At 42.7% G+C, this 19,768-nt stretch overlaps 1 protein-coding gene and 1 long non-coding RNA gene across 11 annotated transcripts in view, besides 1 other annotated feature; one reads left to right on the top strand and one right to left on the bottom strand.

The window, feature by feature from the left end:
• CLYBL (citramalyl-CoA lyase) overlaps positions 1-19,768 on the bottom strand; it is a 302,755-nt gene that overhangs the window by 46,677 nt on the left and 236,310 nt on the right. For all 10 annotated transcript variants that reach the window (NR_104592.2, NM_001393361.1, NM_001393360.1 and 7 more), the window contains exon 3: positions 3,719-3,907. Coding sequence is in view for 9 of the 10 variants with exons in the window: in NM_001393361.1 (NP_001380290.1) it covers positions 3,719-3,907 (189 nt within the window). In the remaining variant the exon portion in view is untranslated. The remainder of the gene's footprint in view (positions 1-3,718; positions 3,908-19,768) is intronic.
• Positions 1-19,768, top strand: part of CLYBL-AS3 (CLYBL antisense RNA 3) — a 216,296-nt gene that overhangs the window by 94,398 nt on the left and 102,130 nt on the right. The window lies entirely within an intron of this gene.
• Positions 7,208-8,407: an enhancer, noted in NCBI's record as "BRD4-independent group 4 enhancer chr13:100506615-100507814 (GRCh37/hg19 assembly coordinates)". NCBI's record gives its function as "activates an origin of replication core promoter dependent on BRD2, P300/CBP, MED14 and CDK7 cofactors, and independent of BRD4, by STARR-seq in HCT116 cells {active_cell/tissue: HCT116}" and the evidence as "EXISTENCE:reporter gene assay evidence [ECO:0000049][PMID:35650434]".

Here is a 19,768-nt window from a genome sequence, read left to right as displayed (position 1 = left end):
TTCTCCCAAAGGAGCAACTTGAGGCCTAGGAGTTAGAACTGGAAGGAGAGAGTATAAACGCTTTCCCTGAAAACGCATTTACTTAAGACCTCTTGCCCTCGCTTCGTTAAATGCAAATGGTAGGCCCTTAAAACAATGAACTCTTCCTCTACCTGCCATTCTGTTTTTGTTTCGTGCCCAGCACTGACATCAGTGCAACTGTTCAGCAGCCTTCTACGTGGAGTCCATATTATTCATTATAGCACCATTACCCTTTGTTCAGAAGGTTTTTCTTCATAATTTTTTAGCTTACCTAGGAAGACCTTAAAAAGGAAGTTTAATTCTTTGAAGACCAAAGCTCGCCAATTTTTTCCATGAGACCAGTTCACAGCTAGCTCTGTGCTGCCAGTGGGGTAGCCCAAATTCCAAAATCTATCATCTGGAAACATACAAAAGCTCTTGCCCAGATTCCTCCCCCTCTTCAAAAGGGGGAAAAAAACACACTCTAAATTGTAAATCTATTATGTCTATCTAGATCTAATAAGATGTGGGGAGATAGATAGAGAAGAAACACAGGTATGATAAAGGTATTTTTGTAAATAAAGATGAAAACATATATATCCATTTTAAATTTAAGGAATATTCAGCCATTAATAGATATCAAAGGAAAAGGGAATTTTAATCATCTCTCCATTCAGTCTCAGTTGGGTAAATCATATCTAAGAGATTTGCATAAATATAAACCATCAAAGACTTTTCATCTTCAAAGGGGGTTTCAAGACCCTATAAGCTTTGTACTGTAATCATCACAGGTCACCACCCTGCAGGAATAAGGCTGCTATGGCAACATAAAAAAACTAATGCTTAAGGCTTAGCATAATATTCTGACTAATAGAAAGGAAACTCATTTGAAAAGCTGGCAGCCTATTTACCAGAAGCGGGATTAGAGGTGTTATTTCCCCTTCTAGCTGCCCCCTCCTTGCCGGTGCACCACCCCCCTAAAAAATCTAATCACTGGGATCTTTAAAAAGCTTTTGAGCAATTTGCAGTAACTTTACAATTAGGCTAAAATAAATCACAGCTTTCAGTAATGAAGAATTATTCCCAGTTGCTCCCACTGCCCCCCCTTCAAAGGGCATCATCATCACCTCCTTAGTAACTTTTCAAGGGAAGGAATAACTCAACCAAAATAGCAAGAAGGAGCAGGGGGTGACAATTTAAGGGGATAAAATGTATAGTATTTGATGTAGATGAAAATAAAATATAATTTATTTCTCATTTATGCTAGAAAGTGGTAGCACAGTATTAGTGGTTTTGGTGTTAAAAATGTAGTAGGGATATTTTTTCTCATTAAAAAAGAAAACTTGTGAAGTGACTTGCCCCATTCTTTGTGATGACAGTTATAACTACAAAAATCATGGACTTTAAAACCAAGTCAACACTTTACAATATATTCCCTGTTCTTAGTGAGAACACCCCAATGCCTTTTGTTTTTAAGCCAATAGGGGCATTTAAAAATTAAATATTCTAGCCCATCCTCCTCCTCCTCCTCCTCCCCCTCTTTCTTAAAAAATTGCACTAAGTACTAACACAAAAGGTAACTAGTGGAGAAGTTTCAATTAATTTTTTCAAAAGGAGACGATTAAATGTTTCCGGCCTGGTAAAGTGTTCATTTCAGCGAGGTGGAGGGGACTGGGGTAGGGGGAGGAGAAGAAGGGGGAGAAATCACAAAGAGATTGGGGAGGAGATGAAGTAGCAGGGCTCAGCGATTCTTTCAATTCCAGTGCACACCCAATAGTGTGTTGGAAGAATGCACACTGTTCGGGATTTGTGGGAGAATTGTCCCATGACAAAGGAGGCAGGGTTACGCTTGTTATAGTCCAATAAGCCGTGCCAGTCAAACAAGAACCCACACTAGCGACAAAAGGCGAGCAAGAGATTCTCACACAAAAGAAAACAAGTAAGCCCATCTTTCAGTTGTGCATCAGGCTCTGGGTTTTATGCTTCGCATAAATACAAACGGAGAGGAAAAAATAAACAGCCAAAAGGACTTCTGTTAACTAGAAGTTCTATTTAAATTTCTGTATGTGTCTCACTTCCAAGGATTTAAAACAGTGAACAGAAGCCATAGCGGAAGGCTGGCTGGGTCTCCCCCTCCCCCATCTTAAGTTAAAGGTAATAACGGTGATAAATAGGCATTAACTATGAAACCAAAAGGGAACAGTGACTTCAGAGTCCATTTCAATCAACTTAAGACATATCTGAATGGGCTCAGGACCCTCCAGGATATTAACATACTCTTAACTAGTATCTCCCAGCTTCTGAGGGTAACCCTGGAGAGAAGAACTCCAGCTTAGTCAATAAATAACTGGTCCTTGAATACGGGTCTTCAAGAAGGATCCAACACAGAGCTGTCCAAAAGAAACTGTATAGCAGCAGCTACATATAATAATTTTAAATTATCTCGTAGCTACATTGAGGGTAAACTGAAACAGGTGAATTTAATTTTAATAGTATCTTGTATTTAGCCCAATAGATCCCAAATATTATTTCAATGTGTAATCAATATAAAAATTATCGAGATAGTTTACATTCTCTTTTTGTCCCCTCAGTGAGTCCCGAGTCTTCAAAATCGAGTGTGTATTTTGCACTTCCAGCACATCTCCATTTGTGCTGGCCACGTTTCAATGCTCAGAAGCCACATGTCATAGTGGCCGTGGCACTGGGCAACGCAGACCTCACACATCGGGTGCATTCAGCAGGTGAGCAGTTTCGTAGGTGTTACAACAACTCAGGGTATTGCTGTGGTGGCAGCCACAGCCTCAGAGATAATACTAGATGTGGCTTCCATGAAACCACCACTGCCCACTCGCCCCGACCACAAACGCTTCCAGTTTTCACACCTCACAGGGCCCAGAATGACACATTTTCTGTCCCAGAACAACACAGTGAAATGTTATTTTATTCAGTAGAGATCTGCAGAATAATAGCGACCCTCAAATAAAATCTAGCCCCTCCACCCTTTGTCAATTAAAACAATCATAGTGTAATTAGGCCTATTTCAAAAGTTTTCTTAAGTAATTTGACATGCCAACCACTTTACATTTCAGGTTTTTATTGGCTGAAAAGTCTGTCATGAAACACAAACACACCTGTCAGCAATTTAAAAAGGATGCACTAGAGAACTGTTCAGGAAATAATATCAGTGCTAATTGAAACCACTAGTTAAAAGCTTCCTGTTCATTCCTCCAGTTGCCCTAAAGAGTGACCTTTTCCTCCCCTTCTTTGGGTTCATTTTTTCATATGCGGCAAATGTGCCCTCCCTGCCTGGGATGATTTCAGATGAATCTCAGTAAGGGCCATTTACGTCACTGCTCTTCCAGGTGGAGGCCTTGGCTTAGGGCCGGGCAGGGTGGAGGAAGGGATGAGATTCTCGGGCAACCTAGTTTCCAGGGATTACTCTGGGAGGGCTACTGAGGAGGCTGTTCTGGCCAAACCACACATCCAATTAGGAAGCGAAGCATCATTTCAAAAGTGCAGTTGTTTCATAGAACACTTTGGGCAAAGGCGAGTTTTCCTTGTGTAAAAGAAACGGATACTTGAGCTTACTGCTTTTTCTCAATTCCCTTCCTCTCTGCTCTCTGCATGCATTTTCCAAACCTGTGGCACCCAGATCCCTTCTTCCTGCTACTCCTCCTTAGCTGCTCCTGAGTCTTAAGGCAAAGCATTAGCTACTCACCCACTGGATTTCTTCAGGACTTTCCACCTTTGGTAGCATCAGGCTGGAAGGAAGGACCCGGGATTGCAAAAGGGTCTCTAGGTCTTCTTCCGCCAGACCACTGGAAACTGAGTTGACTCTCACACATTTTTCAGTAGGGCCCAGATCAATGTCTTCAAGAGTTTTTACAATTCTCAGTCGAGCTTCATTCTGTAAGTGTCAATAAAAAGTTTATTGTTTATTTTTATCATTGAGGGGAGCACCATCAAATGGTTGATGAAACTGTTATGTGGATTCAGAGTCTGAGCACCATTATTCTATCTACACATTTCCTGTCCACCAAATAAATAATATTTGAAAGGAGTCATCCAGTCTGAAAGGTGAGCAGTTGATTTTTAGGTTTCATTCGCGATAGCTATAACATAGCCGAGACGCACCGCAGTGCACATGGGTGTGCTTCTGTATGGAAGTGTCGTCTTTCTCATTAGCATTACTTCCCAATGGGAAGGGGAAAATAGTTAATGGGTAAGTTTTCACTGATTGAGCATTAAGTGCTAAGCATGGTTCTATGTTCTTTCCCTGCACTTTCTCATTTAATAAACATAAGAAATTGGCTAACATCTAGATTGTGGCCATCTCGTCTGTCAGCTTCTTCACATTAGGGAAAAAATAAGGATTTTTCTTTTTCCACAGGCATCATGCTTTTTTTACTCACTATTTTTTTGCAACTGAGTTGAATCTTGACATTCAATTAAGAAGATGCTCACAGGAATCTGACAATGTGTACTACAAGAAAAGCTCCCACTTCTTCAGGTGGAAGGCAAGGAATCCCTTCATGAAGTGCTTGACAAATACTTTTTTTTTCTTTGACTTGACAGGCTTTGCTCCACAGTTCAGAAAAGCTGAAAGGCTGAAAGTCTGCTTCAGTATTTGAATTGTCCCCAGAAAAACTATATGAAACCAAGTATGTTATTTCTTGGCTTTGGCTTGGGGGCAATGAAGGTGGGGTTGGGGAGAGAAAGAAGTGCATGGAAAGGGTGAGGCTGGAGTCAAGAGAAAGAAAGCACTGGGGGTCATTACTTCCTGCCAATTTCAGTTTCAAAAGCCAACTCCTCCAACTTGCCAACAGCCCTCAACAAATTCTCATTGTCAGAATGAACACTTATCAAAAGTAGTTTCATTTGGGAAGGGTTTTTATGATACTAATAAAACTTTAAAGCTTCTCACTGCTGATGAATGTAGTTTACAAAAAAGGTCTCAATAATATATAACCATTTGAAAAGCAATACTGATCTAGGAAAATAGCAAACCAAAGCAGAGACAAAAAAGAATTATTTAAGCCAAATATTGAGTCTAAGTCCCAGCAACAAGACAACCCAGGACAGCAGATTTAAACCAGACAGATGTGGGTCTATGAGCGGGGAGAAGCAAGGAATGCTTCCAAATGTGGTCTGAGTTAAACAATGTGAGGAAACGGTAGCTTAGAGTTGTCGGGTCAGATGGGAAGAGTACCTAAGACAGTTTAGGACTGCTCTGTGAAGTCCTGATTTACAGAGCTTCATCTGCCAATAATTAGGCCAACTTAGACAAAAGCAAGAGAGAGCTCAGACTAGCTAAAGTCAGAGATGATGCAGCCAGCAATGGCTTGGTTCCACATCATACCTTTGTTTTATTCCATAGATATAAAACTCGCCCACTTGCTCTACCATGCATTCTTTATTACAGCCATTAAATACGAAAATCTTCTCTTTTTTTTGAGACACAGTCTCACTCTGTCACCCAGGCTGGAGTGCAGTGGCGCAATCTCGGCTCACTGCAATCTCTGCCTCCTGAGTTCAAGTGATTCTCCTGCCTCAGCCCCCTGAGTAGCTAGGACTACAGGCACCCGCCACCACACCCAGCTAATTTTTGTATTTTTAGTAGAGACAGGGTTTCACTGTGTTGGCCAGGCTGACCTTGAACTCCTGATCTCAGGTGATCCACCCGCCTCAGCCTCCCAAAGTGCTGGGATTACAGGTGTGAGCCACGGTGCCCGGCCCTAAATACGAAAATCTTAAAGGTGAAGAGCAGAAGTTGGCTCAGTATCTTGGCTCTAAAGCTGTCTAGAGCTGCTGGGAGAAATACTTGAGCTCTGGCTGGGCATGGTGCCTCACACCTGTAATCCCAGCCCTTTGAGAGGCTGAGGGGGTGGATCACCTGAGGTCAAGAGTTCAAGACCAGCCTGGCCAACATGGTGAAACCCCATCTCTACTAAAAATGCAAAAATTAGCCGGGTGTAGTGGCACATACCTGTAGTTCCAGCTACTCGGGAGGCTGAGGCAGGAGAATCGTTTGAACCCAGGAGGTAGAGGTTGCAGTGAGCCGAGACTGTACCTCTGCACTCCAGCATAGGACACAGAGCGAGACTCCATCTCAAAAGCGAAAACAAACAAACCAAAAAACTGAAATACTTTCAGCTTTTTGGAAGGCACATTTAGATCCATGGCTGTGGAGAACCTAAAGCATGTTCTTCTCTGTGTAGCCTATGCAGCTACAAAAAAACGAGATAAGATTGCTGGAGTTTGTCAATGTGACTTCCAGGTTCCCTTTTAATAGCTAAGTCAGCCTTGCAAAGAGTCTACTGGGACAGTATGAATGGAAAATTGAAGGGAACTCACTCAGTTTTTTAGGCCATACTGCATTTTAAAGCTTAAATTATTTGAGTCATCATCTCCATCCTCTAATCTGCATGTGTGCTCAAGAACGCAGGATCCCTGGCAACATCAACTTCCTAAATTGTTAATGTTGGCTGGTGTCAAACAAAATCTGATCTTGAAGCTGTTTGGTTTCACTTGGATTTGAAGGGACTTGTTTGTTCAAAGCTCATGTTCTAAACCTGTTTGATTTTTATCTAAAGTCGGATTGCCATGGTTTCAGCACATTCCAGTTTACTTAGCAAAATTCGGCCCTTGTGAAATTGGCTGCAAATGAAGTACCTACTTCCAATTTTAGGCATAATCTGATTAGTACTTTTCATATTATAATAATGAGCAGTGAATACTCAGCATTTAAAAAATTTTGGCTCAGAATGGAAACCAAGCTCTTTACACTTCATCATTCTGTACATTTCCAAAAACAGAGGATGGCTTTTGAGGTAAGTTGCCATACGACACCCTTATTAACCGGCTGTTGCTTGTTACAATTTACATAAACCAAGTGTGCATCCCTCTGGTATATATCCCAAAACACTCAACAACTTCAGTGAATTTACCCCAACCAGCGAGCATGTTGAATTTTTTTTTTTCTTTTTGGTATTTTCAGGGTGAAGTATTTGACTGTGCTAGCAAACACGCCCATGCCATCTGTTGGGTTGGGAGGAAGGCAGTTTCTAAGAACAATTAAGTTTAGTTCTGGGTGTTCAGTTCGAGAGAGTCACAGTCCACCCAGTTGTGAAAAGAAAGAAATTCTGTTCATTTTATTCTCTTTTTCCCTCTCTCTGCCACACACACTGTACTTCTTGCTAACAGCGCTCTCAGCTCTCTCATCTCCACCACCTCATCCTTCACGCTTCACACTTTCCTTCTTTTTCTTTCTCTCTTTCTTTGGCTCCTGGTTGGCTCTGACCATCCCTCCAATATCCATCTTAGGTGGATTAGCAAGAGGCTGCCTGGCTGACCCCAGCTCTCAGAAGGGCTCTCAGGGTGACCTGCTACGACTATTGGGAGGTAAGTGCTTCCTGGAGGAAGGAGAAAAAGGAAATTAAGGTAAAAGCGGTCACCCCAAAAAGAGCTTTTATGGGGGCTTTTATATCCTAGGAGTAATACAGGTTGTTTAAAATGAGGTTTGAGAGGGACTGCATTCTAAATGTGTTAACACTACAGGACAGCCTTGGTGAGCCATTCTCACTGTGGAATGAACTTGTCCCCCAAGATCTGACAAGCTGGAAATGACTGAATAATGGAATTAAGGCCTTTATCAACAGTTACATTAGAACTTCGAAGAGACTAATTACCATAGCGTGTTCTGGATCATGTTTGATCCAGAGGTGGACTCTGCCCAGGTCATAGAGGAAGTTGGCACAGATTACAATCTTTGCAGGCCCCCATTCTAAAAAATGGTGTTCCCAAAGTTGCCGCATTCAATCGATATTTCGTGCCATGCTGCTCAGTGCAGTGGACCAGTGGCTAATAAACTTGTCCTTATCCATAAGCCACCGTATTAGGTGACTCTGTCTGGGCCAGGAACCAAGGCGTGCTATGATTTCAGAGACTGGATTCCTATCACCTGGGGAAGAGACACGCTCTGGTGACGTAAGAAAGCGGAGAAATCAACCATCACCAAAACCTGCAGACTCTGAAATTAAAGGAGAAAATATGCGTGCAGTTGGTTCAATTGGCACCCATTAAAGCTAATAACTAATCATCCTCGCAAGTTTCTAGCTCAGAATGATCAAATCTGCAAAGAAAACAACATCCGTCCACTTTTACACTCCAGTGGAAGAGGTGGTCCCTCGCGGCAGGGCGGCACAGTCTCGCCATCTGGAGAATAAATCGAGTGTGAAGTACAGTATAGTTTGGGACCAAGCTCCGTGGCGGCAGCTCAGCAGTCAGTTCATTAGTTCCAAACTTCCAGGGATTAGAGCGGCATCAATTCTACTGTCGGATAGGATGAGACAGACAGGATACGAGATTCAAGGGGGATTGTGACAACCAAGAGGAGCCCCTTGGGCTTATTTATAAAACTACAAAGTATAAACATACCCAAGTAAGTGCCTTAAATAATAGCATTATCACAGTTTCATAACATCTGAATTATCACCTTTCCCTTCGCCTCCCAGCCCCCGACTCAAACCTTGAATGTTAATGTATAGTTGTTTTCAGAGGAAATGGCAGAGACAGCCCTGGGTGCAACAGGAACAACGAGAAAGCTATGTGCGACCCAAGATTTGGTAATTAAGAAATAGGAAAGACTTTCTAGACTCCAGGGAGATCCACAACATTTGTGATGAAAGAAAAGTACAATGAATATTTTCATCCTGCAAAAGGCAATTGCCATGCCACGTATTCAAAAACGACAGTAAATTCTATCCCTTCTGAATGTGTCCATCTCATCTGATTTTCATTTCATCTAATGTGTAAAATGATGTCATGTCACGGGCATGAAGTGGTCCAAATTTTTAGCAGAAGGCCCCAGGAGCATCTCTATGAAAATCTTATTGAAAATGTCAAGATCAAGTTTGGTTTAAAATAAAAAACGGAACGAATTTATTCTATTTAAGGACGGCCTTTTTCATATAACTTTTTATCAATTTGTATTTAAAAACAGCATTGCTTAGGACATAGACCATCCTCACCAGTCAATTATATTGGATTTTTCTCATAAATGTGTAAAAATTTACTGTAATAATGATCAGAGACTGTTGTAGTGACTGCACTGAAAAAAAAAGGCAAATGAATTCTCAGATTATTACAACCTGGTAGTATGTTTCAACAGGCAAGGTGAGTGTTGAGTTTTCTATCCTGTTATTTTTTCCACATGAAAAAGAAAACTTAGTTTGCCTGTTTTTGAAAAAAAGAAAACCTATAACAATATTGAGCATACTGTAGGTTAACTGGCTTAAAATTGTATGTGCTGATTCATCTTACAAAGCGTTACATGCCAGGCACCCTGTTTACTCTGAAAATGTAGATTTTGGCAGAGCAAAGTTTTTGATATGTTAATCATGAAACATACATTAAAACACAGGTTTATAGTGAAATGCTAAATTGGCTTTCATTCAAAAGACTAAGAAGGCTGAGGATGTGTATAGATGGGTAGCTTATAATATATAATTGGTATTTCTGCCCTTCAGAGATATAATTGAAAAAGAGAAAACCTTACCAAAAAACTCCAACACTAAAACACAATAAACCTATGAAAAGAATTTGTTTTGAAGGTCTCCAACCAATTAAAAATATTTTTTAAAGATGTTAGAACAATGGCTTTGAGTCATGCAAACCTATACATTTGTCAGAATTCATAGAACATATACTTTAAATTTGTGCATTTCATTGTATATAAATTTCACCTCAAAAACACAAAGAGAACTGTAAACAAATATTGAACTCTAGTCATTCATATGCATGCAGGAGTACCTAAGGGGAAGTGTACTGCTGTCTGCAATTTACTTTGAAATGGATATATTAATACAAAGCAAATCGATGGATGGAGAGAGGGACGAATGGATGGTCAGATACAGATTAAGTCAGGCAGAGTAAACATTAATGGGAGAATATAGGAGGTGTGTATAGTATATTGGTTTCTACTGTACAATCTTCCAACTTTTCTGATGCTTGAAATTTTTTTAATAAAGTGTAGGGGGGAAAGCACCCTAAAACACTGACAATTTTTGGAGCTGATTGATGAGTATATGGGAGTTCTTTATACTACTCTCTTTACATTTGTATATATTTGAATATTTCCACAATAAAAAGTTAAAAACTATTCTAGTTAATGACTGAAACATCGCTTTAGTTGTTATTTGTGGGAAATCATTTTGGTGAAAATTATTTTTAGGTTTGTGATTTTGATAACAGCTTTAATGAGATAAAGTTCACATGACATACAGTTTACCTAAGTGTACAATTCAGTGGCTGTTAGTGTATTCATAGAGTTGTACAGCCATTACCACAATCAATTTTAGAACATAAGCCAGGCGTGGTGGCACACAGCTGTAGTCTCAGCTGCTTGGGAGGCTGCAGTGGGAGGATCACTTGAGCCCAGGAGTTTGAGGCTACAGTAAGCTGTGATTGCACCACTGCATTCTAGGCTGGATGACAAAGCAAGACTGTCTCAAAAACAACAAAAAAAGAAGGTATGTATCACCCCGAAAAGAAACCTCATACTTCTTAGCAAGTCACTCCCGTTTCCCCAACCCTCCAGACCTAGGCAACCACTATTCTACCTTCTGCCTCTATAGATTTGCTTATTCTGGAATGTATAAATGGAACCATGCAATAGGTAGTCTTCTCTGACTGCCTTCTTTCACTTAGTATGTTTCAAGATTCATTCATGTTGTAGCACCTATCCATACTTATTCTTTTTTATTGCCAAATTATATTCTATTGTATGGATAGGTCACATTTTGTCCATTGTTAGTTAATGGACACCTGGCTGGTTTCCACTTTGTGGCTATTATGAGAAATGCTGCCGTGGACATTCAATACAGGTTTTTATATGGACATAGGTTTTCATTTCTCTTGGGCATATACTTAAGAGAAAGTAGAATTCCTGGGTCATATGGTAACTGTATGTCTGACCTTTTAAGAAACTGTCCGCTGTTTTCCAAAGTGGCTAAGCCAGTTTCTGCTCCTGCCAGCTGTGTGTTGAGGGTTCCTTTCCAACTGCTCCACATGCTCGCCGAAACTTACTACCACATGTCTTTCTTATTCTAGTCATCCTCGTGGGTATCACCAAGTGGTCTCTCATTGTAGTTTTGATTTGTGTTTCTCTCATGACTAATGATGTTGAGAATCCTTTCATGTGCTTATTGGCCATTTTTATATCTACTTTGGTGAACTGTCTATTTACATCCTTAGCCCGTTAAAAAATGGGGGCAATATATATATAAAACAAAGTTTTCCTTTTAAATCTTCTTTAAATGTACAATGTGGCACCAATTACTTATGCAACATTGTCAACCATCACCACTATTTCCAAACCTTTTTTTTTTTTTTTTTTTTTTTGAGGTGGACTTTCACTCTTGTTGCCCAGGCTGGAGTGCAATGGCATGATCTCGGCTCACTGCAACCTCCGCCTCCCGTACTCAAGTGATTCTCCTGCCTCAGCCTCCCGAGTAGCTGGGATTACAGGCATCCACCACCACACCCAGCTAATTTTGTATTTTTAGTAGAGGCAGGGTTTCGCCATGTTGGCCAGGCTGGTCTCAAACTCCTGACCTCAGGTGACCCACTCAGCCTCCCAAAGTGCTGGGATTATAGGCATGAGCCACCACACCTGGCCTATTTCCAAAACTTCTAATCACCTCAAACAGAAACTCCATAACCATTAAGCATCAACTCCCTATTTTCCCCTGCCCCTAGCTCCTGGTAACCTCTAATTTACTTTCTGTACCCATGAATTTGTCTATTCTATATATTTCCTATGAGTGAAATAATACTTGTTCTTTGGTTCTGGTTATTTCGCTAAGCATAATAATGTTTTAAGGTTCATTCATGTCACAGCATGTATCCAAACTTCATTCCTTTTTATGGCTGAATAATATTCCATTTTATGTCTATTCCACATTTTGTTTATCCATTCATTTGTTGGTAGACATTTGGATTGTTTCACAATTGGTTATTGTGAATAATGCTGCTATGAACATTGGCATATGGGTTTCTCTTTGAGTCCCTCTTTTCAATTCTTTTGGGTATATACCTAGGAGTAGAATTGCTGGATCATATAGTAATTCTGCGTTTAGCTTTTTGAGGAACTGCCAAACTGTTTTCCACAGCGGCTGTACCATTTTGCCTTCCCATCGGCAATGCACCAGGATTCATATTTCTCCACATCCTCACCAACACTTGCTATTTTCTATTTTATTGATACAGGGTTTGTTTTTGGTCACAGCCATCCTAGTGGTGTGATGTGCATGCTCAATGGGTTTTGTTTTGCATTTCTCCAATGGCTAATGATGCTGAGCATCTCTGTGTGTGCTTATTGGCCATCTGTTTATCTTCTTTGGATAATGTCTATTCAAGTCCCTTGCCCACTTTTAAACAGGCCTGTTTGTCTTTTTGTTGTTGAGTTATAACAACAACAAAATAACAGTTCTTTAGATATTCTGGATATCAAATCCTTACCAGATAGATGACTTGAAAATATTTTCTTCCATTCTGAAGCTATCTTTTCATTTTCTTGATGGTGTCCTATGAAGCACAGAAGTTACAATTTTACTAAAGTCCAATTATCTATTTTTCTTCTGTTGATTGCACTTTTGCTATCATCTTGAGACCACTGACTGCCTAATCGAAGGTCATGAGATATATACCTATGTCTTTCTCTAGGAGTTTAATAGTTTTAGCTATAACATTTAGGTCTTTAATACATTTTGAGTATATATATTTGTATATGGTGTGGATTGGGGGGATCGTGATATTTTTGTTTTGTATTTTCACACCTTATTTTTCAACAAAATACAATGAAATTCCCAGGAAAGAGAAAACTCCAGTGGAAAGAAGGGGCTTACTTCTGTCTGCCTCCTTGGCTGCCTTGCCCTGGCCCTGACTGGCAACTGGCTGGTGCTGGCTCTCTGCTGCCATAGCCCTATCCGTCACCTTCCCCTCTCTTCCTCCTCTTTACCTTGCCCTTTTTCCATCTCCTCCTGGTGGATTTTCCTTAACTATATGTGCCAGGCCTTTGGTATTTCTGCGAAGACCTTGACAGGCATCCTTATGGGCCTCTGAGGCACCTCTGACTCAAACTCATAGGACAATGTGGAGCTGGTGCTGAGAAGATGCCCTTGGTGGGCGGGCACTGCCGATGTTTTATGATTCAGTAGTGTGGCTTTGACGTACACTTTGCACAGACTTTTTTTAAGAGACAGGGTCTTGCTGTGTCAGCCAGGCTGGAGTGCAGTGGCAGGATCATGGCTCACTGCTGCCTCGAACTCCTAGGCCCCAGCAATCCGCTCGCCTTGGCCTCCTGAGTAGCTGTGACTACAGGCATGCACCACCATACCCAGATAATTATTTGTATTTTTTGTAGATACAGTGTCTCACTATGTTGCCCAGGCTGGTCTTAAACTCCTGGGCTCAAGCAATCCTCCCACCACGGCCTCCCGACTAACTGGGACTACAGACATGCACCACCACACTCGGCTACACACAACTTTTAAAAAAGACAGAGTATTTACGTACCACAAGCTTACACTGTCTTTCTCAATAGTGTTTTTTTTTTCTTTTTTCTTTTTTTGAGATGGAGTCTCACGTGTCTCTTAGGCTGGAGTGTAATGGCACGATCTCGGCTCACTGCAGCCTCCACCTCCTGGGTTCAAGCGATTCTCCAGCCTCAGCCTCCCAAGTAGCTGGGATTACATGTGACTGCCACCACGCCCAGCTAATTTTTGTATTTTTAGTAGACATGGGGTTTCACCACGTTGGCCAGGCTGGTCTCAAACTCCAAGCCTCAGGTGATCTGCCTGCCTCGGTCTCCCAAAGTGCTGGGATTTTCGGCGTGAGCCACGGTACTCAGCCATCTTTCCCAATACTATTAACCACCGCCATGCTCAGATTTGTCTGTGGTTGTGGAATCTGCTAGCTCATGGCTCTTCCCACTTTTACTCTGTGTTTTCACAGCCTCAGAGGGGCAAAGTTAGAATTTCTGGTTTCTAGCAGGGCAGCAAGGGGCACAGGGAGCCGGGACAATCTGTGGGCAGAGGAATGGGGAGTGGTGCCCACTGTCTCCGAGGGGTCCCAGGGAATAGGTGGCAGAAGGATCCAGAGGAAAACTGAAAAACACAATCACTCATCTGGTTGTTTTATGTACTTATGGCCAAACATCCAGATACTTGAAGGCATTTAGGTAACAGGGGATGTGCCCTTTTTTAAAGAATGTTTGTGATTCCCAAGAGAAAACTTCCTGAATACCATGCCCAGATTCTGCCTGATGATGCTGGTCTGGTACATTTAAAACTTTTTATCCAGAGGGATTAATTAAATGCAATCCACTGCACCAGGTGCTGGGGACAGGTGTGGGACATAGGGAAAAGATCCATAAATCACTCCCTGTTGAAGTCTGGGAATTTATCATCCAGTTGTGGCGATGAAAGCCCCATATAATGAGAAGTGAAGTAACAGTTGGAGTCAGTGGAACAGATCCTGGGGCCCTTGGGACTTAGAAGCAGGGGACGGCACCTCAAGCTGAGAAGGGGGTTGGAGGAGGGGAGTCTGGGACTCGGGTGGCCTCTGAAGACTGAACAGGATTTCAGTAAGTGCAGAGGAGGTGAGAGAGCCAGAAATGGGCAAAGGACAGCAGCAGGGCAGCGGCAGGAACAGTGAGGGAACACAGCAAGGTGATGATTTGTACATATGAGGCTATGGAGGGAGGGAGCTTGAACCAGGAGACAGACAGACAGGCAGACAGACAGACAGGCAGACAATGGAGAGCCCTGAAGGGCAGGGGCAGCCCAGGGCTTGGAGACACAAGGAATGACGCTCCGTTCCATTGGGGAGAAAGGACCATGGTGGTGACAGGTCATGACTCACAGCTCAGTTGAGAAGTATCTCTGAGAAGCTGCCCTGCAGCCCTGCCTGCCTTCGGGAGGATCCATCCTCAAGTTGGGGGTCCCTGCTCACTCCACCTGCCCAAGAGTTCCTTCCTTCGAAGGAGGGTCCAGAGCCCCAAAGCTACTCAATGTTGTCTTTGGAATGGGTATCTGTACGTGGGTTTCTCAGGTGGGCTCCTCTCCAGAGCACTGAAAGAATTCTGGAAGCCCAACAGTATGGTAGCATGTGGACCCACTCCCTGGCACGTGCCTTCTAATTGGTCTCGCTTAGCCCGGGCTCAGTGAGGAAAGAGAAGGTAGCTGCCTTCCCCAACCGACTGGTACAAAGTACAGTCAGGAGCAAAGCTGCTCTCTCCCTCTTAACTCGCTATATTTATGTTTCCCCACTTCTCCGGGTTAGAGGAGGTAATTAACTGTTTTGGTTTAAAAGCCTCCTGCTGGGTCTCAGTCTGCGTGGGAGAATAAAAGTAAACAAGCAAAAGGGAACAGTGTCATCAAAGGACCTCGTACCTAGCTTTCTTCATTATGAGGATGAAAACGTGCCTTTTTCCAAAGGTGCCATGAATTACCTGTGCAGGGCAGGGTCCGCCAGCCTTTCACTCTTTTTAACGGTAAATCAAGAGTGATTGGCTCATAATTTAATGGGGCAGCCTTACCATGGTTCCAGATACACATCAGATAACAGACGTGTCACCTGTCCCTGGCCTGAGCAGTTTAGAGTGATGTTCACAACATCTTTCAGCCAGTGACTCCCTCTAGTTCTCCAGCTGACCTGATACACATTACTGGAAGCCGATCCAAATTGTCCCCTTCACACAGATATCAAAAACCAATTTGTTAAAAAAAAGCAAACTTTTTTTCATTTCTGTGGAGGAAAACACTTATTTCCCTGCCCATCATCAATTTCTGCAGGTATGAGTTGGGCAGGTATGAGGATGCCCTAAGGTGGGTTAAGACCGACTCAGCTGTGCCCACGTTGCTGTAGGAGACTCCTGTCTGCATGCCAACTGCTTCTACAACACTTCTCTAAGGTGCTGACATAAAGAATCTTGTCTCCATAAGTAGATTATAAAGTTTATCCACAGAAGTATAAATGTCTAATGACAAGACACACATAGCCTTGCAACTAAACAAACTGAGCCAATGCTAATTTCAGCCAGCGGCAGAAGCCAGTCCTTGACTTCTTGTCTTCTGGAGGAAGCACTGCCTTGTGTGGCAGGGCAGCATCCCAAACAAGGATTCTTTATATTCAGCAGCACATTAATTAGTCTTCCTGGCAGACACGAATGAAGAAATCAGGTAATACAATCAGCTATGTGATGGCAGGAATGGAACACAAAGAAATACTTCCTGCAGGTACGTGATACTGCATCATTATTTTCACAAACTATTTTTAAAGTAGACAGGGCTTTAAAACAAAAAGGAATAAAAAATATCTCCACACAGGCGGAGCTTGCAGTGAGCTGAGATCATGACACTGCACTCCAGCCTGGGTGACAGAGTAAGACCCCGTCTCAAAAAAAAAAAAAAAAAAAAAAATCTCCACACAATATTTGGTAATATTGGTAATATCCATCAACATTCGTAATGTTGGTTCCACCTTTGCATGTTTTCATTTCTGTTGCTTAAATATATACTGAGTCCTTTAGATCATTTATTTTACTTATGTATTTTGTAGAGACAGGGTCTTGCTCTGCTGGCCCAGGCTGGAGTGCAGTGGCTATTCACAGGCACAAACAGAGTTCACTACAGCCTCATGCTCCCCCATTTATTTTTTTTTATTCTTGGTTGTTTTGCTTCCTAATTATTTCCCAAAGAAAACTATAACTGAAAAATGGCTTTGTTTTTTTTTTAGGTGGCAAATATATAAGCATTTTTAAGGGTAGTACTTTTCCATCCTATTCTTTGTCAATTTTATTTTCTTCAAAAATCAACAAGGAAAAGAAAAATATAATGTGGAAAAACCAGAAAACGAAGGAGAAGAAGGACGGCCAGCAGGACACTTAATTTTTTAAAAAAGGCAGACTGAGGATCGCTGGAGAACAGAGGCTGTTACAGCTAAGGGCCCCCCAGCAAGGACCAGGCCCCCGGGAGGTGGCTTCTCTTCGCAGCCTGTCGCGGTGTGCCACAGTTCCTCTGAAGATGTGTATCGTGGAGCAAGTGGCAGAGCCTGCGTCATGTCACCTAGCTCACAAACACTGGGAGCTTCCGATCTTCTATAATTAAATGTTTTCCTCGAGCAAATGCTAATAAAACAATGCCGTGGCTGGCACCGCATTTGATTTCCATCGCGCTTTCCACCTTCTCCTCCTGCCAGCTCTTCACATTGACTTTTTCCGCAGCTTCATTCCTTCACTGGTGCCAGGCAGGCGCACTGCACAACCACTTGGGTTTTCTTCCCTCTTTTTGCGCCCGGTGAATTTTCATAAAGCATTTAACGTGAGAACAAGCAGGTTAATTTCCCGTGCCGTTGAGCCAGGCGCCCTGCAACACTGCCATGTTTTGGCTTCTGAGTCAGAGGCCTTGGTCCCAGTGGCAAAAACTCTTGCCAGAGCCTTCTCTGTGCAGACACCAGGTGTGATTTAGCATAACAGATTGTGTGGACGTTCAACGGCTTCTCTAAACCGTGCGTCAAAACGAAATTGTATCCTTCATGCGAGATGAAGATGAAAGTCTCCTGGGCTGGAAGTTCTGCCAGGAAGGGCCTCTGGACATACAGGAAGTGGGAAAATCACCCCACCTTACAACATATGCCTAGTTTCAGGACCACTAACGTTCTCTTTCACAATATTAGTACCTGGTTAAAATCCCCCATCATATCACAACGCTGTTTTCCTCTGATGGTAGGTAGGCAATGAAGGATTTTTAAAAAACATAAAAAGAGGATGGAAAAAATGGAATTGTACGGAAATTTAAAACCTCATTGAATCCGGTCTTTGATACCTAGTCAATGGCTTGAACCATGCATGAAGCCCTGGTTGACAGTGACTTTGAATGCCCACGCGCTAGGTGTCAGCTCTCAGGCTATGGGGAAGACTTTCAGGGAAAAAGCCGAGCTTTGTGGCTGCCACAGTGTAGACCCGAGATGAGAACAGCCTGTTTTCGAAGATGGCAAGATTAGTGTGCCTCAAGAGAAGGGCAGGCCCGAAGCTGAGACACAGGTCACCCCACAGGGAGAGTGACTGAAGTCACAAGAGGACACCGAAGATGATTTGAGGACAAGCTTAGCAAACACGACTGCCAGAATCACCGGCCTTTTTATCCAGACCACTGCCAGGGGGATCTTAACACTGAGTGATGTGCAGGCAGCTAACAGAGAGGACCAATGGTGTCCCAATGGTGTGCCAACACCAGGGGCTTGGGGACAAAATACATGTGTTCCAACGTTCAAAATCACCTGATAACGATGATGTCAATATATACACAGTCCTCTTCTAACTTTTCAAAGGGCTTTCATGCCTGTGATCTCATTTGCCCTCACAACAGTCCTGCAGTGTGGACAGCACAGATTTTATTATCCACATCTGCCTGAAGAACAGAGAGGTTAGGAGACTTCTCTGGAATCCAGACAACTAGGCAGCACTTGAGGTGAGGCAGAACTCCCATCTTGGGCTCCCAATCTTGCATTTGTCTGCAGAACCCTTCCTTACACCCTCGAGGGTCGGTGAGTTACCCGATAGCCTGTAATAAACTGTTTTGTTTTCTGCTTACACTCAGTAAACGAAATTCTGTGGTTAGCTGCCAGCAGCCCCGGCCAGTACGGCAACCACACTGCACATGCATTCTGTCACCGGCCTTTTTTACTCAGCCACAGGCAGGGTATCTGTTTATGCTCGACATGATCCGCACAATCATTTGTAATGACTTCCAAGTATTCTATTGCATGGATAGGCCAATTCCCTATGGAGTAAGATTTAATTTTTTGGCCAGGCATGGTGGCTCACACCTGTAATCTCAGCACTTTGGGAGGCCGAGGTGGGCAGATCACCTGAGGTCAGGAGTTCGAGACCAGCCTGGCCAAGAGGGCGAAACCCCATCTCTACTAAATATACAAAAATTAGCCAGAAGTGGTGGCGCACGCCTGTAATCTCAGCTACGTGGGAGGCTGAGGCAGGAGAATCGCTTGAATCCAGGAGGCAGAGGTTGCAGTGAGCCAAGATCATACCACTGCACTCCAGCCTGGGTGACAGAGCAAGGCTCTGTCTTAAAAAAAAAAAAAAAGATTAATTTTTCCCCAGCTGTTTGCCATTAATATGTTCATTTCATTCAAGAAATATTTACTGAATATGCTTTATGTGTCAGCTACCATTTTAGGTAATGGAGAGAACAGCTCCCTGCCTACATGGAACTTATATTCCAGTCAGGAAAACAGCTAAGAAACAAGTAAGCCAATAAACAATTGTAGACTGTGAAACTATGAAGATAGCAGAATTAACTAATGGGATAGGAGTGATGGGGGTGTAGCGACTGAGACAAGGTGGCAAGACAGCTTCTTTGGGGATGTGACAGTTGCCCTGATTCCCGAAAGATGATAAACCTAGCTGCAACAAATATCCCAGAACATTCATCTTAGAGTCCTTTTGTCTGACTGATCCCTTAGGACAAATCCTGGAAGTGGAAATGCCAGGCCAAATTACCTGCTCACTGAGGCTCCAAAGGAATGACCATGAGGCTCCAACTCTCACAGCCTCCTGCAAGCCATCCTGCTTCAAGTCCTCACTGTGCTGATGGCTGCCTGTGTACGAGACAGGGACAGTCTCTTAACCTCACTGTGCCTCAGTTTCCTCATGTGAAAGATGGGGATAAGAATAGTGCTTGACTCAAGG

This window comes from Homo sapiens, chromosome 13 (assembly GCF_000001405.40).
Source record: "Homo sapiens chromosome 13, GRCh38.p14 Primary Assembly".
Taxonomy (NCBI): domain Eukaryota; kingdom Metazoa; phylum Chordata; class Mammalia; order Primates; family Hominidae; genus Homo; species Homo sapiens.
This window is presented reverse-complemented; position numbering and strand designations above follow the sequence as displayed.